General features: G+C 39.9%; 1 protein-coding gene and 1 long non-coding RNA gene across 2 annotated transcripts in view, besides 1 other annotated feature; one reads left to right on the top strand and one right to left on the bottom strand.

The window, feature by feature from the left end:
* LACTB2-AS1 (LACTB2 antisense RNA 1) overlaps positions 1–24547 on the top strand; it is a 54703-nt gene that overhangs the window by 4809 nt on the left and 25347 nt on the right. The gene's annotated exons all lie outside the window — the stretch shown is intronic.
* Positions 4160–4239: an enhancer, noted in NCBI's record as "active region_27508". NCBI's record gives its function as "activates an Ori minimal core promoter by ATAC-STARR-seq in GM12878 lymphoblastoid cells {active_cell/tissue: GM12878}" and the evidence as "EXISTENCE:reporter gene assay evidence [ECO:0000049][PMID:35858748]".
* LACTB2 (lactamase beta 2) overlaps positions 23881–24547 on the bottom strand; it is a 31920-nt gene continuing 31253 nt past the window's right edge. Inside the window, exon 7 of the mRNA NM_016027.3 lies at positions 23881–24518. Within this exon, the coding sequence (NP_057111.1) occupies positions 24475–24518 (44 nt within the window). The 3' untranslated portion in view covers positions 23881–24474. The remainder of the gene's footprint in view (positions 24519–24547) is intronic.

Genomic DNA, 24547 nt, shown 5'->3' on the forward strand with positions numbered 1-24547 from the left:
CGAACCCACACGCTTGAAGAGAGTGCCTTTATACAAATTTCCCCAAATCATCCAATTTAAACATGCCATTTGCTTCTGCTAGGACCCTGACTCTTATGGAGTCACTAGTGACCTTTAAGACAGTATTTTCTTTGGAAATGGTAGAAACAAATGGCTGACTGGAGTGGGTTCAAGAGAGAATGGGAAATGGCAAGATGGAGGCATGAGTATAAGCAACTCATTTGAGGGGATTTCCCTGCAAGGGAAGGCGGAGTAATGGGCACGTGGTGAAGAGAGGTGTAGGGAAGGGTTTTGCTTTTCTTTTTGGATGAGCTATATTATGATGTATTTGCATGCAGATGAGAATGATCTATAAGAAAGATTTATTCTACAGGAGTTGCTTGCAGAAGCAAAGTCCTTGAGCAGCTCAGAGTTGATGGCATGTAGTGCACAGCTGACCACAGTGACAAGATAGGGTGCCCACAGCAACCAGATAGAGGGCAGAATTTAGGGGTAGGCTGATAATGGCAAGATGAAGTTGTCTGCTTCTGATTGTTTCTGCTTTCTCAGTAAAATAGGAAACAAAATCATCAGGAGTGGAGATAGTGTGATGACATTTGAGAAGAGAATGGAGGAAAACTGTGGAGGGTGAGTAGATTAAAGGGATGTAATCAGACAGCAGGGCCCACTTGAGATTTGGGGCCATACATTTAAAGCGAGACTAGTAAGCAGAGCCACATAATTTTCTCCAGGCATATCTCCCTGTTTGGATACAGGTATGGAGAAGGCAGAATTGGGCTTTGCCAGGCCAGTATGACAAAGGATGTGGAGGATGTGCAAGGGTGAGGGCAGGGGTGATGAAGTGAAGGCCATGAGGTGGTGGTCATGCTTGTTATACTGTCACCCTCTGCCCTGAGAGTCCACCCTTTTCTGCTGTGAAAGGCAAATGTCTGCAGACTGCAGTACTGGGGCTCCCTCGCCCTTGACTTCCCATTGGAATGGGACTGGAAGTCTGTGGAAGACACTAGCCAAAAAACAGAGGGTTTGGGGATTTCTTTATACTCCCATCATCCCTCCTTGCCTTACTATGGTTCCAACAGTGACTATGTTTGTTCTCCTGTGGCCACTGCCTGTGTCAGGTAGCTTTTCTGTTACTGTTTCAGCTCTAAGTGGGCTCCAGGGACCTCATTCTCTCCCCCGCCGCTTCAGGCTGTTGGTTGTAATAGCTTCCCATGCTCTTACTCCCCGCATACTTCACCATCCCTTGTTGGTTCATTCAACCTGCTACTCCTCTGTGAATAAGCCCTTCATTAAGTGCTCTCCAGCTAAATTCTTTTGAATGGGCCATCTATTCCTTGCCAGTTCTCTGACAGAGACAGAGGACAGAGAAATAGTGCTAGGGCCTCTGAATTGGAGGCACCTATGGGGCTGAAGAATTGTTGTGGAGGGGGGCTGGCTGAGGAGGAAGTGGTGAGAGAGTGGGATGCTGGAAATGATTTCAGAGGTTGTGCAGTCACTGGCAATGAGATGCACAGGGTAGAAAGGTGGGAGTGGGTAGCTGAGGTGAATGGAGGAGGAGAGCTTTGAGAGTGAGAAGTCAAGGCAGTAGGAGGCTAAGGTGCTCAGCACATGGATGCTAAATCACCAAGAATGAGTGAAGGAGAAGAATGGAAAGGGAGCCAGTGAGGGAGCTGGGCACTAACATCTGCTGCAAATGAGGAAGAGCCTGAGAGGATGGCAGATGATTGCCACAGGAGGGTAGTGGGTGGTGTAGTTTCAGGGCATGGACTTCCAGAAAAGCTGGGGTTTTTGAGCAAGGGAGGAGAATTGTCTGTCAGCAGCAATGAGGACCATGAAAGACACCCATTCCACCCCTAGGCTCTGTGGTATGTGGTGCGTGGGAGGGAAGAAACAGCCACCTCTTGAGAAGGCTCCAGGGAAGCAGGTTTCAGTTTTCAGTTAGAGCTGCCTCCAGGTTTCTGAGCGAGAAGGTGAAGAAAACATTCAGAAAGAGGCAGAGGGTGTTGGGGATTTGGTAGATGGCACACCTGGAGCTTTGGGGGATACACTGCAAGAGTTTGGGGGCTGCGAAGGGGCTTTTGGCTTAAGCAAAATAAAAGGATGAATAGAGCTTTGTGGGGAGGAGATTGTGGTGATGATGGATAACAATGGAGGTTTGACTCTGGAGGTGACTAAGGTGGAAAGAGTTTTGAAGCATTACAGAATGATCCTGAGGTCTTTTAGGGGAATGTGGAGGTTTAATAATAATTTTAGCTTCTTTTTTAGGATTAGCCTCTTAAGTTTATAGTGAAAGGTGGCTGCCATTAAATTCTCCAAGCGTAGGTCATGGTGGTGGGGAAAGTGGTCCTACCAAGACACATGGGCTCTGGAGGCCTCCCTTAGCAGATTTTTCGTTTTGTTTTGTTTTAGAATGGGGACCAGGCTGGTCTCAGAATCCTGGCCTCAAGCAATCCTCTTGCCTTGGCATCCCAAAATGCTGGGATTACAGGGATGAGCTATCCCACCAGGGACCCCTCAGGCAGATTGATTTCTTATGTGTGTTCAGCTCTGGAGGCCACATTCCAAGTAAGTTAAGACTTTGGCAAACATAGCCTGGATCCTAAAATTCTCAGGATTCTTTTAATGACTGTAGGACAGAAGGCAGCTTTTTGGGATTAGATCTATCCAGGAAAATTTGTGGTACAAGGTTGCTGTAATTATGAGAAATATAAAAGAACAGAAATATGATCTTTGCCCTCAATGAGGTTGTGTTTATGTGGCCTTACAAGACATGTATAAGAATGAAAAACCTGTTCTGAGATGATGTGAAAGTAGGTACAAGAAATTACCTAATAGAAATAAGTTAGAACTAAAATGGGACTGTTTGATTTCAACCTCTCCTTGGGGACAAATTGATGAAAAGTAAGAAACGAATGTTTGTTACATGCTTATTAAATTCCAGGCATTTTGCCTTTACATATATCATTTGGTCTTCACATAAATCTTATAAAATAGGTGTTGTTGTCTTTATTTAAAGACAGAGAAGCTGAGGCTCAGAGATGTTAAGTAATTTGCCCAAGGTCATAGGTCCAGGTATCTGTATGCCTGCCAAACCCATTCTTTTTGATGTTTTTTGAGACAGGGCCTCGCTATGTTGTCTAGGCTGGCCTTAAACTCTTGGGCTCAAGAGAACCTCCCAAGTAGCTGGAACTACAAGTGTGCATCGCTGTGCAGCAAAGAAACCCATTCTTGTCTCATGTAAACAGTCCTGCAGGGTCTGTACTTGCCAGGAAGACTCTGACTCTTCAGAGAGCAGTGATTCTCAATCTTATCTCATTGCTGATCTATTCAAGAGACTGGTTGCTGCCTATGTAGAAACACAAAGCCCATGAAAAAGACCCCAACAGATCATTTTTCTGTTTACATGCTATTGTTATATCATTTACAGTGAGTTTAAAAATATAAAATCGTACTCATCTGGTGAGAAGGAAATTGTATTTTCATGAGGAAGCAAAACCACTTCATTAATACTTGGAAATTATATGATTTCCTTGAGTATACACTTCGCTGCTATGGAAACGAGAAAACAAATTTATAAAACAGTGTTGCTACTAGTATGTAAGACTGGCAGGAGATGGCATGTCACATTTAGAGGTAGATCTGGCAATTCGGAGAGAGCTGGTTGGTAATGGCTACGAAGATTCTGTGACCCATCTGACCACTACTTAGGTGTCTCTCTAGGGGTAGAATGTAATCCTGTGACCTATAGAAGCTTAAGGAGCCCAAGCACAAGGTGGACTTTCTCACCCTATTTAACCAAGCACATCAGGGCCTGAGTACTACTTCTCTGATGAAAGAGAGCCCAGTTTCAGTAAGTGGTGAATGCAAAGTGAAAAATGGAAACAGGAAGTAGAGAGAATATTTTCAAGAAGTTTAACTTTGAAGGGGAGAAGAGAGCAGGGTGTGTAAATAAAGAGGAATAACGGAGTCAAGGTAGGTTTTGTTTTTGTTTTTTGAGTGATGTCACAGTTGAGCATGTTTATTAATAGATGGTAAGGAGGGGAGAGATGAACAGGCTGAAGACAGGGGGAAGAGGTGGGCAAAATGATGGACAGAGGTTTCTAAACTTTGGAATCCACTAGAACTTTACATAGGAAGGGACACTTCTTTTTACACCAAAAGGATGGAGGTAGGAGGAGAGGCTAGTAGAGACAGGGCAGTCACAGAATGACAGTGGATGTTCTTCCATGTGGATGGTGAACTCAGGAAGGGCACTGCAAGGAGAACTGTGAGCCAAGTTTCTGTTTTGAATTGTTAAAAATAAAAACTACAGGCAAAATACATTTAACAGAGTTTACTTGAACATTAAAGGTTTCACGAAGTAGGCAGCACTCAAAACCAGAAGAGGTTCACAGAATTGTGTTTCAGCCGTGTGAGCAGCAGGCTTTTATAGGCTGAACAAGTAAAGAAATTACTTGGCTAGGCACAGTGGCTCACACCTGTAATCTCAGCACTCTGGGAGGCTGAGGTGGGCGGATCACCTGAGGTCAGGAGTTCGAGACCAGCCTGGCCAACATGGTGAAACCCCATCTCTATTAAAAATACAAAGATTAGCTGGGCGTGGTGGAGCGCATCTGTAATCCCAGCTACTCAGGAGGCTGAGGCAGGAGAATCGCCTGAACCCAGGAGGCAGAGGTTGCAGTGAGCCAGGATTGTGTCACAGCACTCCAGCCTGGGTGACAGAGTGAGACTCTGTCTAAAAAAAAAAAAAAAAGAATTACTTGATTGGGTCCAGCTAAACATTTCCCTTATTTGGGTACAATCTGTTGGAAGTCCTTAGAGGTAAGTTGGTGGTTTGTGATTGGTTAAGCTTAAGTGTCTGTTTACTGTTTCTATTGAATTGGGTTTTAGTTTGTTTGTGTAGGAGCCTAAGGTGTTCATTGGCCTTATGACTGCCCAATTACTTATTTTTTTTTTTAATTTTATTTATTTATTTTTGAGACAGAGTCTTGCTCTGTTGCCCAGGCTGGAGTGCAATGGTGTGATCTCGGCTTACTGCAACCTCCGCCTCCCAGGTTCAAGCGATTCTCCTGCCTCAGTCACCCGAGTGGTTGGGATTACAGGTTCCCACCACCATGCCCAGCTAATTTTTATATTTTTAGTAGAGACAGGGTTTTGCCATGTTGGTCAGACTGGTCTCGAACTCCTGACCTCAGGTGATCCACCCACCTCGGTCTTCCAAAGTGCTGGGATCACAGGTGTGAGCCAGCGCACTCAGCCAATTACTTATTTTAACAGAATGAATGAGTGGAGAGTAGCAGTAATAAGGGCCCAAGGAAATATGTCAGCAGGAACAGGGTTTTTTCAGGCATAGGGGGCAGTGAATGGTTTGGAGAGGGAGAAGGCTATTAGCCCCACCTCAAGACATACAAAGTTTGACAGAGGAAAGATGTTCATTTAAGAGGGCTGAAAGGGATTGGTGTTTTGAGGGGAGAGCCTGGTATATAGTTAAAGCAACTGGTGAGAGGGAATGTTTGGTGCAGTGGCAGAAGTTGTAGGAAGTTTATTTATAATGGAATGAATTATATTAGTTATAACTCTTTTAGTTGCAAGTGACTGAAATGGGAATATAGTGAACCAAAAGTTAAGAGAGTCAAAAGAAAAGCTTCAGGAGCCAGGGTGCATTGTGGATCTTAGGAAATAGAACCAGGCACTTGACTTCATTAGATTCTCTCTCTACCTTTCTCTCTCTCTTTATTTTTCTTTTGTCTTCTGTTTCAGCTTGGCTTCACTTTTTCCTGTTGTAAATGGACTTTATTTACATGGCAGAGAACATGGTCACTTGCTGGTTCTATCAGAACAATTCCAAGGAAAGACCTAAAGTAGGCTGGTTTAGGTTGCATGATCATTTCTGGGTCAATTATTGTGGCCCATCTTGGCCACATGCTTTTCCTTGTGGGTAGGGTTAGTTTAGTACCAGAAGGTGTGGAGGAACAAGTACTAGACAAGTAGAATCACCGTTGATGTCCTAGAGAACATGGTGTAAAGGATCTGGAGGTACAGGAACAGTGCGAGGTGGTTGGATCAGGGAAGAAAAATCCAACAGTAATGTGAATGTTAGTGAATGAGAAGAATGGATGGAGTGACTTGTATTTGAGGCAATGGCCAAGGACTGTGGGCATATCTAGTAGGGTGATTTCTAAAATAATTTCAGCAATCACAGATAGAGGAAGGACTTCAGTTTGAATTTGTTGTACTTTCAAGAGGGTTCTAGTTCTTAGGAACAGACAGGAAAATGGTGACAGGTAATTGGTTCCTGGGAGGCTGGCACATTCTGGAGACAGCAGCAGTTTCTGGGGATGCTTCATAAGGCTATTATGCACTGACATCTGCCACGGACCACCAAGTAGAACATTTTCACCTGATGAGAATTAAACATTGACAACATCATTTTGTGCAAAATGCCTTCCCCAAATTAGAAGGACTTATGCCTCAGGGAATTTGTGACTGATGGAACTGAATAGATATCTTGTAGCCATCAAAAACTGGTGTGTGGCTCAGTGCCTAGTAGAACCCAGGTCTTGGGGTGATGGCCAAGGATTCTTTGGAGCTCCTTCCTTGCTTGCATCAGTCCATGTGTTCCAAGACAAAGCTTATGGCACAAATTAAAACTATAACATATACAATTCTTTGCAGTTCCCAAAGCGCTTTTGATACACATTACTAATTTTAACTTTATATAAATCTAGAACATAATGTTATCCCTGTTTCAAATGAGGAGATAGAGGCTCAGAAAAATAACTTAAGGTTTTACAACTAAGTTTTAACTCCCAGGATGAAGAATGTGAATTTTAGCTTATAAAATTATGGTCAGATTATACTAAAGACTAAATATGGTACTTTGTGGCAATTAATTGGTATAAGTCAAAGTGAAATAATCATAAGGGAATATGTGAATGTACTGTTAACAACATCAAAATAAAATTAATATTTATTGGATGCCAAGCACTATGCCTAACACTACAAACTACTTATTTAATAGTGACAACAACTCATTGAGTCAGATCCTATTACCATTGCTTTTCTACAGATGAAGGCTGATTAGACAAATATTACTAAACTGTTAATACCACCACCATGATAAATGGAAACAGGAATAGGCTGCATACAGGGAAATCAACTAATAGTAGTTGATTTTAATTAGGAAATGAGCACTAGGCTAGGGAAAGAAGAGAAAGGAATAAATCCTTGAGTCTGTCTAAGACAAATGATAGGTTTTCTCCCTGTGAAGCAAACCACTTTTATTTCTTAGGCCATTTATCCCTCCTTCTGAGTATCACTTATACCAATCAGCATTTTCTTTGGTTTTCGATCTGCCTTCAAACTACATCCTCAAATTGTAGCATAAATATTTCCCAGTTAAGTGGAGTGGGGCTAAAAAGAAACAAAGGTGACAAAGGACTAATTCAGCTTGGGACATGGGAGAATGGTAATGCCATTTACCCACATGGTGTGTAGGGAAAGGGAGGTAATCAGGAAATTGTTCAGTAAGCTGAAAAGTTTGGTTTTAGGTGCACTGGGTTTCTTCACATGCATGTCTGGTCTTTGGGAGACAGCCAAATAAAGGATCCCTACAGACAGCAAAAGATTCAGGCCTGGGGCTTTGGTGAGTGATTCAAGCTAATCACACATTTGGAAATTATTCAGCATGGTGGTAATGTTAACACCACCAAAATGGATTAGCTCGTTGATGTGGTGAATAAAAAGAAAGAACAATGCATTTAGTCTTGGGGGTGTCCATATGAAAGAGGCTTAAGGGGGATCAGGAATTTAATTACGTATCTGTCATTTTAATAGCAAATTTCAGAGTCCTTTTCAAATGATAAGTTTCCCATAGTCTCCATAAAACTGAATGAGGAAATTTTTAAAAGTCCATAATATTCTTTTACTCTATAATCCTAGTAACTTATTTATTTTAGGCTTAAATGCTATTGCAAGGAATGTGCTGGTCTAAAAGACAGTACTATTAGGTTATTTCCTCCCATTTTGAAATGTATTAAAAACATACTAAATGAGCCAAGTAATATAATAGGGAAAGAAATGGAGAATAATTACATTAAATAACTGAATTCCAAGAATAATTGCTGTAAGACTAGCTTCCAGGAAGCCAAGGCAAAAAGTGATCATGGAGAATTAACTAGATATTATCCCATGTAGAGTTTTGGAAACATGGCTAATTATCAGTATCACAAGGGCTGTCCCTCACCAGGAGAGTCCAGTGAATGGTCTTACAGCTGAGAAGCTGTGTTGTTTTAATTTAAAAGTTCCCCAGGAAATTCTGAGAATTAATCAGATTTGACAAGCACTACTCTAATAAAGGAAACATAGAAGTTCACAGGAGAGACAAACTTTTTTTCTAGCTCTGAAATCAGAAAGAGATTTTGTTCCATTGACATTGAAGAACATTCGATAATAAAACAGACAATGTCCTCAATGGAATTTAAAAAAAACAGGTAAGATTTTATCTGTCTATTTTTTTTATTTTTAATAGAGACAAAGTCTTGGTGTCACCTGGGCTGGAGTTCAGTGATGCTAGTTGTGGCTCACTGTAGCAAACTCCTGGGCTGAAGTGATCCTCCTGCCTCCGCCTCCCAAGTAGTTAGGACTACAGGTGTGCACCACCATGCCCAGCTAATTGTGCCTGGCTAATTTTTAACTTTTTTGTAGAGACCAGTATCGCAATGTTGTCCAAGCTAGTCTTGAATTCCTGGCCTCAAGCCAACCTCCTGCCTTTTGCCTCCTAAAGGTCTGGGATTGCAGGTGTGTACCACCACACTCAGACTTATATGTCTGTGTCTTTATACTGACTTTTGACAAAATAAAAGCCACCAACATAATATTAAATTACAATTCTGTTGCTGTAGTAAAAGAATCATCTGGGCCAGTTGAAAAAACTGTACTCCTTTGGGGCCCAGAAATTTGCATTTGTAATAAGCCACCAATTGACAGTGATACAAATGGTCCAGGAACGCATTTTTACACTGAGAGAATGGATGGTTAACAACAGTCCTTAGCATTTTAGGTTTAGATATCAAATGTTAAGGTATACCATTTGTAATAGACATTTTCACCATTTTTGAAAACTGAAGCAGGGTTAATCTACTTCTATAAGCTGGGAAGACTTCTGTGGTATAAAACCAGAACACTTCTGGTAAAACTTTTCTTCAACACTCAGGAAAATATTAAAAGCATGGGTTGCTTTATATGCCACTAGAGTAGATATTAGTCTCACTCTAAAAAGAAGAAATTCATACTCAATGGATTAAAACCTTTTAAAATCATGGGATAAAACATGGGAAAACAAATTTACTAGTCTTTTGGTAGAGATGCACTTTACTCAAAACATTAAAGAGCCAAAGACATCACTGTGTTAATACAACCATATGTAATATAAGGTCATATATATGGTCCTGAATTGCTGCAACCCAACATATTTGGAAACATCTGATTTGTAGCAACACGATTTTCAAGATTGGTCTTTATTTTCAAATACATCAGGAAAAAATATTCTTAAGGGGAGTGCTTCTTTGTGGTCATAGTCATCTCATACTTCTTAAAAACACTAGTAAAAATAAGTAGGGGAGTCTGCCATATAAATGTTGCATTCCTACAGATTTAGTAGTAACTTGACCACACACAGAGAAAATGTGGTGTTGGCTGAAGACTGAGGGATAGAGGCAGGGTCCTTTTTCTCTTTACTAGTTATCGAATCTAGTTACTAGTTACTGAATCCTAAATTCAAGTCAACTCTCAGTGAGAGAAACTTGAACTATCATAGATTTTTTAATACTCTAATATATTGTGACTAAAAAACAAAGGTGGGATCTACCATAGACATATAAATAGCACCCTGCTGGATTCAGGTAACTTTGGATCTAGTTCCCTTTAGATGGTTTTCATACTGCAGTAAAGGTCATAGAAGTCTGAATCCAGTTCACCTTAATTCTCTAGGTCCTTTAGTCTAGATACTAAGTGCAGGATTTCTTTTTAGGGAAAACTTTGTACTTCAGAATAGCATCCATGAAATAATATGAATTTGAAAATTCCTATTTTTAAACCTAAGTGAGCAATAAATAAGCATGTACCTTTCGTTGTTTCCAATTCCTGATAGCTTTTGCAGGATAAAAATTCTAGGGCAAAAATGCTTATTCCACTGAACTAAAAAGTTGGAACCCATCCATTGCATACTATCAGTATTTTGACATTAAAAATTTAAATTTTTACCAAACTAATAAATAGACGTAATTTAAATATTAAATAGTAACAGCAGGAAAAACATTTCTCCATTCTCTCTCCTCCCAGTCCCACACTTCCCAAAGGCAATGACTAAACTCTTTTAGACATTTTTTTCTAGTATTAACCAATAAAACACTTCTACTACTTCTTGATTTGCCAATTTTAGGCTTTATTGACTTTCTATTATCATAGGTGATGATTTAGTATTCTTAACTTCCCACTTCCTATCTCCTGTTATCCTGTATCACCATTTTTTGGTCAGTGTTTACACTATTTCCTAAGAAAAGATGCAGAGGCAGAAAGTATTTCATGATTATTTCCTTCCTTGCACTACTTTAGTTTTCTGGAATAAACAATTGTCTCATATTTTCTACCTGCGTAGTTTTCTATGAACTCATTATTTCAATTGTTCATCTAGAGCTGTTGTATGACCACCAGCAGTTTTTTTTTACCCCCAGTGCTCAACTATATCAGATAATATATTGGTTCCATTTTTCCCCCTGGAGATCTCTCTCTCTGAAGCTCCCCCTTCCTCCCGCTCCAATCTGGAGAAGGCTCTGGGCACACCTTTGTCTTATAACTTCCTCTTGGCATTTTTCTGTGGTAGATTTACTATTTCAATTTTGTGTTTTCCTTTTTTCCTATTTTTCTAGAGTATTATCATCCTGCAGTTCTCTAAAGAGAGTTGCATGGCAGATACACTTTTTGAGTCCTTACATTCACACATAATTAATTGGTCGGTTATACATTTCTAGGATGCAAATAATTTCTCCCTCAGATTTTTAAAATTCATTAGTTATTTGAGATGGGGTCTTGCTATGTTGGCCAGGCTGGTCTCAAACTCCTGGCCTCAAGCAATCCTCCCATCTTGGCCTCCCAAAGTGCTGGGATTACAGGTGTGAGCCACTGCACCCAGCCTTCCCTCAGATTTTTGAAGGCCTTCTGTCCTAATACCCATTGAGCACTGAAAACGTCAGTGCCATTTTGATTTGTGTTCCCTTCTAAGTGATTACAAATCCCTAATCCTACCACCACACCTACAACCTACAATCTCTTAAGAGCTTCTCCTTATTTCTGATGTTCTGAAATTTCACAATGGTATGTCTTGGTTTGGATTGTTTTATCTTTTTTACGTTGTTGGATATTAAGTAGACCCTTTCAATTTAGACTCATCTTGCAGGTCTGGGAAAATTTCTTATATTTCTTCTTTGATAATTTCTGCCTATTTTCAGTTCTTTTTTTGGGGGGACTCATTACATTAATATTTTACTTTCAGCTTGCCTCCTAAATTCTTCTATCTTTTCTATTTTCCATTTTTGTTTTTTGTTGTTCTATTTCTAAAAAATTTCTCAACTTTGTTTTTCAAACTTCCATGTATTTTGGTTATATATGTTTTTATTTTCCAAAGTTTTTTCATAGAGCTATTTTTCTTTTCCTTTTTTTTTCCCTTTGAGACAAAGTTCCACTCTGTTGCCCAGGTAGGAGTGCAGTGGCATGATCACAGCTCGCTGTAGCCTCAACCTTCCAGGCTCAAGGGATCCTCCCACCTTAGCCCCCACAGTAGCTGGGATTACAAGAGCGCCATCATGCCCACCTAATTTTTTTTTTTTTAATTTTAGTAGAGAGGAGGTCTCACTATGTTGCCCAGGCTTCTTGTGAACTTCTGAGCTCAAGTGATCCTCCTGCCTGACCCTCCCAAAGTGCTGGAATTACAGGTGTGAGCTACCATGCCTAGCCTCTTTTACTATTATTTGAATATATACCTCTATATACTTATTATTTTTTATTGGGTCTGGGAAAGGAGTAGCAATAATAATAAGCATTATTTCAAAGAATAATGCTTAATGTTTTAAAAAACTGTACATAATGTTAATGGCTTTTAATGTGGATTGTTGGGGATTCAGAATGTTTAAAATTTAGCATTATGAGTAATTTCTCTGGATAAAACTGGTAACAAGCACTTTGTTGATAATTTAATGTTATATCATCCAATAATGGACAAAATAAGCATAAGCAGCACATAAAATAGAGTCCTCATTTACTACTGTTGACCTTCCTTTTTCAGACACCTCTTTTGGCTGATAAACACTACTCCCCCAGTGATTGTCCTGTGCTTGATTCAATCTTTCTAATCTTTGGCAGCTTCTTTTCCTATATACGGTAGTCCTCCCTTAACTGTTGGGGATACATTCCAAGATCCCCAGTGGATACCTGAAACTGCATACCAAATAGCATCAAACCTTATATATACATTGCTGTTTTTTTCCTATACATACATATATACATACCTATGATAAAGTTTAATTTATAAATTAGGCAGAGTAAGAGATTAACAATAATAAAGTAGAACAATTAAAACAGTATCCTGTAATAAAAGTTATGTGAATGTGGTCTCTCTCTCTCTCAAGATATCTTATTGTTCTGTACTTAGCTATTTTTGGACCCAGTTGACTGTGGGTAACTGAAATTGCAGAAAGTGAAACTGCAGATAACTGGGGACTACTGTATCCACCCCAAGGTTGTCTACACACACTCACCCATTGCTTCAATTGCAACCTCAGTGCTGATGACTTCCCAATCTCTATCTCTAACCCAGACCTCTATCATAAACTCCTCACTGTAGACTAGTTCTCACTAGTTCCCAGTGGTCATCTACTTCCCCATTAGATTCTATGAGACAGCTCAGGCCTTTAATTTTCATTAAAATGTTTTATTATTTATACTTTAAATAGGCAATACATTCAAATAATTCAATTCCTAAAGATATAAATGGGTATACTGTAAAATTTCCGGTCCTATCCTCCATCCCTTAGCCACTTAAAAGTTCTCCTCCTGGGAGGGAACCAATGTTATTGGTCTTTTAATATTTTTGATATCTTTCCAGAGATACATTCTGCATACACAAGTAAGTCCACTTTTATGTGCCCCCTCCCCCACTAGTCACTTTAATTCCAAATTTGTTTTAAAAGGCACCAATGCAGGTGGAACCAAGACTTTCACAACCAATATTTCTTTTTATTATTATTATTATACTTTAAGGTCTAGGGTCCACGTGCACAACATGCAGGTTTGATACACAGGTATACATGTGCCATGTTGGTTTGCTGCACCCATCAACTCGTCATTTACATTAGGTATATTTCCTAATGATATCCCTCCCCCAGCCACCCACCCCACAACAGGCCCCAGTATGTGATGTTCCCTGCCCTGTGTCCAATTGTTCAGTTGAACAATTCCCACCTATGAATGAGAACATGTGGTGCTTGGTTTTCTGTCCTTGTGATAGTTTGCTGAGAATGATGGTTTCCAGCCTCATTCATGTCCCTGCAAAGGACATGAACTCATCCTTTTTTATGACTGCATAGTATTCCATGGTGTATATGTGCCACATTTTCTTAATCCAGTCTATCATTGATGGACATCTGGGTTGGTTCCAAGTCTTTGCTATTGTGAATAGTACTGCAATAAACATATGTGTGCATGTGTCTTTATAGTAGAATGATTTATAATCCTTTGGGTATATACCCAGTAATGGGATTGCTGGGTCAAATGGTAATTCTAATTCTAGATCCTTGAGGGATCGCCACACTGCCTCCCACAATGGTTGAACTAATTTACACTCCCACCTACAGTGTAAAAGCATTCCTATTTCCCCACATCCTCTCCAGCATCTGTTGTTTCCTGACTTTTTAATGATTGCCTTTCTAACTGACATGAGATGGTATCTCATTGTGGTTTTGATTTGCATTTCTCTGATGACCAGTGATGATGAGCATTTTTTCATTTGTCTGTTGGCTGCATAGATGTCTTCTTTTGAGAAGTGTCTGTTCATGTCCTTTGCCCACTTTTTGATGGGGTTGTTTTTTTCTTGTAAATTTGAGTTATTTGTAGATTCTGGATATTCGCCCTTTGTCAGATGGGTAGATTGCAAAAATTTTCTCCAATTCTGTAGGTTGTCTGGTCACTCTGATGGTAGTTTCTTTTGCTGTGCAGAAGCTCTTTAGTTTAATTAGATCCCATTTGTCTATTTTGGCTTTTGTTGCCATTGCTTTTGGTGTTTTAGTCATGAAGTCCTTGCCCATGCCTATGTCCTGAATGGTATTGCCTAGGTTTTCTTCTAGGGTTTTTATGGTTTTAGGTCTAACATTTATGTCTTTAATACATTTTGAATTAATTTTTGTATAAGGTGTAAGGAAGGGATCGAGTTTCAGCTTTCTACATATGGCTAGCCAGTTTTCCCAGCACCATTTATTAAATAGGGAATCCTTTCCTCATTTCTTGTTTTTGTCAGGTTTGTCAAAGATCAGATAGTTGTAGATGTGCGGCGTTATTTCTGAGGCCTCTGTTCTGTTCCATTGGTCTATATATCTGTTTTGGTACCAGTACCATGCTGTTTTGGTTACTGTAGCCTTGCAGTATAGTTTGAAGTCAGGTAGCGTGATGCCTCCAGCTTTGTTCTTTTGGCTTAGGATTGTTTGGCAATGCAGGCTCTTTTTTGGTTCCATATGAACTTTAGTTTTTTCCAATTCTGTGAAGAAAGTCATTGGTAGCTTGATGGGGATGGCATTGAATCTATAAATTACCTTGGGCAGTATGGCCAATTGCACTATATTGATTCTTCCTATCCATGAGCATGGAATGTTCTTCCATTTGTTCATGTTCTCTTTTATTTTGTTGAGCAGTGGTTTGTAGTTCTCCTTGAAGAGGTCCTTCACGTCCCTTGTAAGTTGGATTGCTAGGTATTTTATTCTCTTTGTAGTGATTGTGAACGGGAGTTCACCCATGATTTGGCTCTCTGTCTGTTACTCATGTATAGGAATGCTTGTGTTTTTTGCACATTAAATTTTGTATCCTGAAACTTTGCTGAAGTTGCTTATCAGCTTAAGGAGATTCTGGGCTGAGATGATGGGGTTTTCTAAATATACAATCATGTCATCTGCAAACAGGGACAATTTGACTTCCTCTTTTGCTAACTGAATACCCTTTATTTCTTTCTCTTGCCTGATTGCCTTGGCCAGAACTTCCAACACTATGTTGAATAGAAGTGGTGAGAGAGGGCATCCTTGTCTTGTGCCGGTTTTCAAAGGTAATGCTTCCAGTTTTTGCCCATTCAGTATGATATTGGCTGTGGGTTTGTCATAAATAGCTCTTATTATTTTGACATATGTTCTCTCAATACCTAGTTTATTGAGAGTTTTTAGCATGAAGGGCTGTTGAATTTTATTGAAGGTCTTTTCTGCATCTATTGAGACAATCATGTGGTTTTCGTCGTTGGTTCTGTTTATGTGATGGATTATGTTTATTGATTTGTATATGTTGAACTAGCCTTCCATCCCAGGGATGAAGCCGACCTGATCATGGTGGATAAGCTTTTTGATGTGCTGCTGGATTCAGTTTTCCAGTATTTTATTAAGGATTTTTGCATCGATGTTCATCAGGGATATTGGTCTAAAATTCTCTGTTTTTATTGTGTCTCTGCCAGGCTTTGGTATCAGGATGATGCTGGCCTTATAAAATGAGTTAGGGAGGATTCCCTCTTTTTCTATTGATTGGAATAGTTTCAGAAGGAATGGTACCAGCTCCTCTTTGTACCTCTGGTGGAATTTGGCTGTGAATCCATCTGGTCCTGGACTTTTTTTGGTTGGTAGGCTGTTAATTATTGCCTCAATTTCAGAGCCTGTTATTGATCTATTCAGAGATTCAACTTCTTCCTGGTTTTGTCTTGGGAGAGTGTATGTGTCCAGGAATTTATCCATTTCTTCTAGATTTTCTAGTTTATTTGTGTAGAGGTGTTTATAGTATTCTCTGATGGTAGTTTGTATTTCTGTGGGATTGGTGGTGATATCCCCTTTATCATTTTTTATTGTGTCTATTTGATTCTTCTCTCTTTTCTTCTTTATTAGTCTTGCTAGCGGTCTATCAATTTTGTTGATGTTTTCAAAAAACCAGCTCCTGGATTCATTGATTTTTTGAAAGTTTTTTTGTGTCACTATCTCTTTCAGTTCTGCTCTGATCTTAGTTATTTCTTGCCTTCTGCTAGTTTTTGAATGTGTTTGCTCTTGCTTCTCTAATTCTTATAATTGTGATGTTAGGGTGTCAATTTTAGATCTTTCCTGCTTTCTCTTGTGGGCATTTAGTGCTATAAATTTCCCTCTACACACTGCTTTAAATGTGTCCCAGAGATTCCAGTACATTGTGTCTTTGTTCTCATTGGTTTCAAAGAACATCTTTATTTCTGCCTTCATTTCGTTATTTACCCAGTAGTCATTCAGGAGCAAGTTGTTCAGTTTCCATGTAGTTGAGCGGTTTTGAGTGAGTTTCTTAATCTTGAGTTCTAATTTGATTGCACTGTCGTCTGAGAGACAGTTTGTTGTGATATCTGTTCTTTTACATTTGCTGAGGGGTGCTTTACTTCCAATTATGTGGTCAATTTTGGAATAAGTGTGATGTGGTGCTGAGAAGAATGTATATTCTGTTGATTTGGGGTGGAGAGTTTTGTAGATGTCTATTAGGTCTGCTTGGTGCAGAGCTGAGTTCAATTCCTGGATATCCTTGTTAATTTTCTGACTAATTGATCTAATATTGACAGTGGGGTGTTAAAGTCTCCCATTATTATTGTGTGGGAGTCTAAGTCTCTTTTTAGGTCTCTAAGAACTTGTTTTATGAATCTGGGTGCTCCTGTATTGGGTGCATATATATTTAGGATAGTTAGTTCTTCTTGTTGAATTGATCCCTTTGCCATTATGTAATGGCCTTCTTTATTTCTTGGGGAAGTTCTCCTGGATAATATCCTGAAGACTGTTTTCCAACTTGGTTCCATTCTCCCCATCACTTTCAGGTACACCAAGGAAACGTAGATTTGGTCTTTTCACATAGTCCTTTATTTCTTGGAGGCTTTGTTCATTTCTTTTTACTTTTTTCTCTAACATTGTCTTCTCGCTTTATTTCATTAATTTGGTCTTCAATCACTGATACTCTTTCTTCCATATGATCGAATTGACTATTGAAGCTTGTGCATGTGTCACGATGTTCTCTTGCCATGGTTTTCAGCTCCATCAGGTCATTTAAGGTCTTCTCTACACTGTTTATTCTAGTTAGGCATTCGTCTAACCTTTTTTCAAGGTTTATAACTTCCTTGCGATGGGTTCGAACATGTTCATTTAGCTCAGAGAAGTTTGTTATTACCGACCTTCTGAAGCCTACTTCTGTCAACTCGTCAAAGTCATTCTCTGCCCAGCTTTGTTCCATTGCTGGCAAGGAGCTGTGATCCTTGGGAGGAGAAGAGGTGCTCTGATTTTTAGAATTTTCAGCTTTTCTGCTCTGGTTTCTCCCCATCTTTGTGGTTTTATCTCCCTTTGGTCTTTGATGTTGGTGACCTGCAGATGGGGTTTTGGTGTAGATGTCTTTTTTGTTTATGTTGATGCTATTCCTTTCTGTTTTTTAGTTTTCCTTCTAACAGGTCCCTCAGCTGTAGGTCTGTTGGAGTTTGCTGGAGGTCCACTCCAGATGCTGTTTGCCTGGGTATCAGCAGTGGAGGCTGCAGAACAGCAAATATTGCAGAACAGTAAATATTGCTGCCTGATCCTTCCCTCTGGAAGCTTCGTCCCAGAAGGCCACCTGCCTATATGAGGTATCTGTCGGCCCCTACTGGGACGTGTCTCCCAGTTAGGCTACATGGGGGTCTGGGATCCACTTGAGGAGGCAGTCTGTCCATTCTCAGAGCTCACACGCCATGTTGGGAGAACCACTGCTCTCTTCAGAGCTGTCAGAGCTGCAGACGTTTAAGTCTGCAGAAGTTGTTTGCTGCCTTTTGTTCAGCTAAGCCCTGCCCATAGAGGTGGAGTCTAGAGGCAGTAGGCCTTGCTGAGCTGCGGTGGGCTCTGCACAGTTCGAGCTTCCTGGCCGCTTTGTTTACCTACTCAAGCCTCAGCAATGGTGGATGCCCCTCCCCCAGCCAGGCTGCTGCCTTGCAGTTTGATCTCAGACTGCTGTGCAAGCAGTGAGCAAGGCTCCGTGGGCGTGGGACCCACTGAGCCAGGCACAGGAGAGAATCTCCTTGTCTGGTGGTTGCTAAGACCTTGGGAAAATTGCTGTATTTGGGTGGGAGTGTCCCATTTTTCCAGGTACAGTCTGTCACGGCTTCCTTTGGCTAGGAAAGGGAAATTCTCCGACCCCTTGCACTTCCCGGGTGAGGCGACACCCCACCCTGCTTCAGCTTGCCCTCCGTGGGCGGCACCCACTGTCCAACCAGTCCCAGTGAGATGAACCAGGTACCTCAGTTGGAAATGCAGAAATCACCCGTCTTCTGCATCGATCACACTGGGAGCTGCAGACCAGAGCTGTTCCTATTCGGCCATCTTGGGACAGATCCCCCAATATTTCAAATACTGAACATATATCCCCTAACAAAACACTTAGTATTGGCTGGGTGTGGTGGCTCGTGCCTATAATCCTAGTACTTTGGGAGGCTGATGCTGGTGGATAGCTTGAGTCTAGGAGTTCTAGAGCAGCCTGGGCAACATGGCAAACCCCATCTCTATTTTTTAAAATAAAAGTTAAAGCAAAAGTATCCTTCCAAGCACCCCCAAAAATAGAATAGGAGGGAAAGACTGATAATAATGAGAGTTTTCCTTCTCCAACATTCCCTGAAAATTGGCGGCAGGTCTCATTTTGATGTGTTGTGTTTATAAGCACAGACTTTGGAGGGGGCACTGATAAACAGCACTGGCAGAAATAAGACTATCTGCCCTTGATTCTTTTCACATGTTCTCCAGGATTCTACCTTCCCTGCTACCAGCCACTTCACTAACTTTTTCTGGAGAGATGACTTCAAAATACTCAAAGTCGCAAGATAAATACACAGAAACGATTAACGTTGCACAGAGTTGACCCAGTCATTCTGTAAATTGCTGCAGAAAAATTGGATTTATTTATTATATATTTTACACAAATTAGAAAGAAAGCAAAGTTATTTAGTAAGGTAACTATATTTGTCCAGAATCTTCCTGTGACAGTCTTCTTCTGGGAACAGACTTTGCTCACTCCAGCCACAGGGGTAGCTGGGCTAAATGCAGTACCTAATGTTTCCTTGACCACAGGGACTGGTCTAAGGAATGGGTAATGAGCCAGTATAAATCACTGAATTCTTCCCCTAGGGTTTTTCATCTCGAAGCTAGACAAACCAGCTTTTTCTGCTGGTTATAGAGTGGTGAGAATATGAGCCTAGAGGCCAGGTATGGTGGCTCATGACTATAATCCCAGCACTGTGGGAGACTGAAGCAGGAGGATTGCTTGAGCTCAGTTCAAGACCAGCCTGGGCAACATGGCAAGACTTTATCTTTACAAAAAAAAATATAAATAAAAATTAGCCAGGCATGGTAGCCTGCACCTGTGGTCCCAGCTACTGGGGAAGTTAAGGCAGGAGGATCACTCAAGCCCGGGAGGCAGAGGTTGCAGTGAGCCGTGTCTGTGGCACTGCACTCCAGCCTGGGTGATACAGCAAGATCCTGTCTCCAAAAAAAAAAAAAAAAAAAAAAAAAAAATAACATGAGCCCAGAGCTCCCATAACCATGTCCATGTCCTTCATCATGTGAAGAACCCAGTTGACTGTGGGGTCTCTTACTTGCAAAGATAAATAGAGGTGAGAGGTTTGGGGTTGTATTGATGGGATGTAAACATCTGTTCTTGTTCACAGGCCTGGCTCTGCTCTACCCTTATTCTTCTCAGGTTGGTTATATGTGCCAACCAACTTCCCCTTTTGCTTAAGCTTGTTGAAATAAGTTTCTGTTACCTGTAACAAAATATATCTTATCTGCTTAGCTCCAGTTCCATATATCTGAGTGCCTACTAGGTATCTCCCTTTGGATGTTTCCTGGTACTTCAAACTTGTATCTGTAGTAAAATGCATCTTTCTTCTCTTCTGTACTCTACCTGTCCCATTTCCTCTATTCTCTCAATCTGGTTACCAACATCTACCCAGCCGCCCAAGCCAGAAATCTATAGCTCTTCTAGACTTCTCTCTTTCTGCCTGATCCCCCATCTCTCAATATCTAATAGGTTTCTAAGTGCTATTCCTCTTCTTAAATATTTATCCTATCTCTTATCCCTTATTCTAGTATCCTTGGTACCTCTTCTGTTTTTTTCCTTCCCCCACTATACTGAAAAGACCAAATCTCAGAGTGCTTATGCTCCCCACTGCCTCTGTTCAATGGGGTCCCTGTCCCCTTCTGATAAAACTTCTCGTCCCAGATGATTGGTCCAGAGCAGTCAGCATAAAGGCTGGTCAGTAACATATAAGAAAGTGTGGCAAGAAAATTCTCTCAAACAGAGAACAAACACACCAATCAGATTGTTTTCTATGAGGAGATCAGTACCCGAGATACAAAGAGGGCTACTCAGTTGCCAAACAGAGGCTGAAGATATGCAGAGAGAAGGCAGAGGTGACGACAAGCAGGCTTCGGAAACTCTTGAATAAACAGAAAATGAGTCAGCCAAAACTTCCGGGTGTTCTGAACGGAAGGTAAAGTGATTGTCTGAAGTAATGGAAATGAATAGAGGAATGAAATCACCATAATAGAAGAGGGCCAACTCTTGCTGTGAGGATACAACTAAATAACACTAGAATTGCCCCAGAACCTGAACTGCTTTCCAATTCCTAAAGTATATATACTCCAATCTGTATGAAGCATGGCTGGATGACAATACGTTGCTTTCTGTGTGAATTCTGTGTTCCCATGAGATTCTTGTTATCCCTATGGCCTCAACACACAATACCATAAATTCTAGTTGTATAAATTAGTTCCCCAACCAAATGATGCTCTGCCATATCTGTTTATATGCATACACGATTTCCTCCAGTTAGAACAATTCCTCTCGTCTCCCATACAAATACCCCTAACTTCGTCTGCCTACCATGTACTCATCTTTTAAGACTGAGCTCAGGGTCCTCTAAGCAGCTTTCTATAACTCAGCCAGGTTAGCTCCTCTTCCTTTACTCTAGCACATGGTAATTGTATGTCTTCATAACTAAAATATGAGCTTCTTTTGTTTACCTTTGTATCCCCAGGGCCTGGCCCAGTACCCAGGACAAAGCAGACATTTAATGAATGCCATTGTTTTGGTTAAAGCTCTCAGTTGCTAGACTCTTTCCATAAACAATAAATGTACTAGCCTTCCATTATCACCCCTCTTCCAATATATCTAATTGCAGCCTGCAGTATCTGAAGTGGGCCACAGTACTATAAAAAGACAATAATTCCATGGCTTTTACGTAAGATTTCCTCAGCTCAGAATGCCCTTCTCACCCCTGTTCCCCAATTTCCTCCAAGAATAGAAGTAGGAAGCCCAGAATTGATTGCACTAGTTCAGGCAAGAGAGGACCATGGCCTGGACTAAGGAGTATTGGTGGGGTAAGAGGTAGTGATACATTCTGGAGGTGGAATAGGCATTACATACTTGGTGAAGATTTGGTTATAAGAGGAGGAAGAGAGGCATATCAAGAATGAATCCTAGAGTTTGAGACCAGCCTGGCCAACATGGTGAAACTAAAAATATAGTTCTAATAAGAACCAGTTCAGTTTCTACTAAAAATACAAAAATTAGCTGGGGCTATAATCCCAGCAATTCGGGAGGCTGAGGCAGGAGAATTGCTTGAATCCAGGAGGCAGAGGTTGCTGTGAGCTGAAATCGCACCACCGCACTCTAGCCTGGGCAACACAGTGAGATTCTGTTACAAAAAAAAAAAAAAAGAATAAATCCTTTGGCCTCAGCCTTGGCTGCACTGTTGGCTTCCCTGGTTTTGAGGCTTTTGGACTTGGACCGAGCCAGGCTACCGGCTTCTCATTTCCCCAGCTTGCAGATAGCCTATTGTGGGATTTTGTCTTGTAACTGTGTAAGCCAATTCTCCCTAATAACCTCCCTTTTATATATACAGTAATATTATTATTGGTTCTGCCCCTCTGGAGAACCCTAACACAGTATCATTAAGTGACATCAAGTACATTGACAGTGTTTTGCAATCACCATTACCACCTATCCCCAGAACTCTTTTCATCTACCCAAACTGCAAAACTTCTTACATGAAACACTATTTTCCCATTTCCCCTTCCTCCTATTCCCTGGTATCCACCATTCTTCTTTCTGTCTGTATGAATTTGACTACTCTACGCACCTCCTATAAGTACTATTGTATAGTATTTATCCTTTTGTGACAGGCTAATATCACTTAGCATAATGTCTTCAAGGTTCATCTATGTTGTAGCCCACGTCAGAATTTCCCTCCTTTTTAAGAAGAACTAATATTCTGCTGTATGTGTATACCACATTTTATTTATCCAGTCATCCTTCAATGGACATTTAGGTTGCTTCCATCTTTTGGCTATTGTGAATAAAGTTGCTGTGAACATGGATGTACGAATGTCTGTTTAAGTCCCTGCTTTTAATTTTTTGGGTATATAGTCAGAAGATAAATTGCTGATCATATGGTAATTCTAAAGGTTTTTTTGAGGAAGTATCATACTGTTTTCCATAGTGGCTACACTATTTTATGTTCCTGTCAGCAATGCACAAGGGTTCTAATTCCTCCACATTCTTGCCAACACTTGTTATTTTCTGTTTTTTTTTTTTAATTTTTAATTTTTAGTAACAGCTATCGTAATGGGCCTGAAGTGGTATCTCAGGGTTTTAACATTTATCTAATGATGAGTGATGATGAATATCTTTTCATGTGCTTATAGGCCACTTGTATATCTTTTTTGGAGAAATGTCTACTCAAGTTCTTTGTCTATTTTTCAATCAGGTTGCTTTTGTTTTTGAGTTTATAAGTTATTTTGTAATAAGAACCAGTTCTAGGAATACGGGTCTAGGTCTTCAAAGCATGAGAATAAGTGTATTAGGATGGCATGAAAATGCTAGGGACCTTGGGAAAAGAGGCAGAAAGAGGTGAAGCTGCCAAAGGAAATTAAAAAAATTTTAAGTCTGGCTGGGTGTGGTAGCTCATGCCTATCATCCCAGCATGCTGGGAGGCTGAGGCAGGGGGACTGCTTGAGCCCAGGAGTTCAAGACCAGCCTAGGCAACATAGTGAGATTCTGTCTGTATAAAAAATAAAAACATCAGCCAGGTGTGGTGCTATGTGCCTGTAGTCCCAGCTATTCAGGAGGCTGAGGTGGGAGGATTGCTTGAACCTGGGAGGTAGAGACTGCAGTGAGCGGAGATTGTGCAATTGCACTCCAGCCTGGGTGACAGAGAGAGAGAGACACTGTCTCAAAAGCAAACAAATAAAACAAAAAAAAATTTTTAAGTCTCAATCTTTAGGGAAGAGTAAACAAAATACACTCAGGATTCTGGGCTTATTTTAGTATTGTAGTTTGAGAACTGTATAAGTTAAGTAAGCATTGGTGGACTACCTTGTGAACCTAACCACTATATAAGAACACTACTTATATAAAAATATAAAAAATGCCCTATCTTATAATCCTTTAATTTAAATGTAAACTTTTGGTACCTAATTCATGTATAAGCTGATGACTATTTACATACTAAGATTTAAACTTGGAAAGTATGTTGGTTGCATTAATGGATTACAGAAATAATTATTTATCATATAATACTTTAAATTGGGAATTTAATATTTTTCAATCACCAAAAATTCATTTGCATGAATCATTTGTGGTATACCAGAATAAGAAAATACACATGATACAGAGTTATGGAACCAATAGATAGTCATGATATAGTTGATAGAAACATCAAGACAAAGCAATTATGTACAGATAGAGACAAGGGTTGAGGAAAGAGTAAAGGTGCATAGAAATCTGTGCTGTTAAATAAAGTAGCTATAGAAAACAGTATAACTGATCACTAGTAATAGATAACTAACGGCCAAAAATAATATCAACTTTAAATTAGATAAATTTTATTATTTTTAAAGTAATCATTTTATTTAATCTATTGAAAACTGATAAACTATTAGATTATGAATTTTTGGTAAAACGTTAGAAGACAAGGTTAGAGAAATAACCTATCATATGGTTGTATAGTGTAATTTACATATTTTAGCATAAATATAACATTATTTTAAAGTATATCTAGGGTTATTTTTAATGTTTTATACTTTTATATTCTCTATAAAATAACCTATAGTTAAGAAAACATACCATTCTCTGAAAGCAAAATAAAACAAAGCTTTCTTTAATCTGAAACTAAAGATGAGCTTTCCATTTCTTGTCAGGATCTGTGTTGCTAACTGTAAAAAGAAAATCAGAGAGTAAAAAT

This window comes from Homo sapiens, chromosome 8, assembly GCF_000001405.40.
Source record: "Homo sapiens chromosome 8, GRCh38.p14 Primary Assembly".
Classification (NCBI taxonomy): Eukaryota; Metazoa; Chordata; class Mammalia; order Primates; family Hominidae; genus Homo; species Homo sapiens.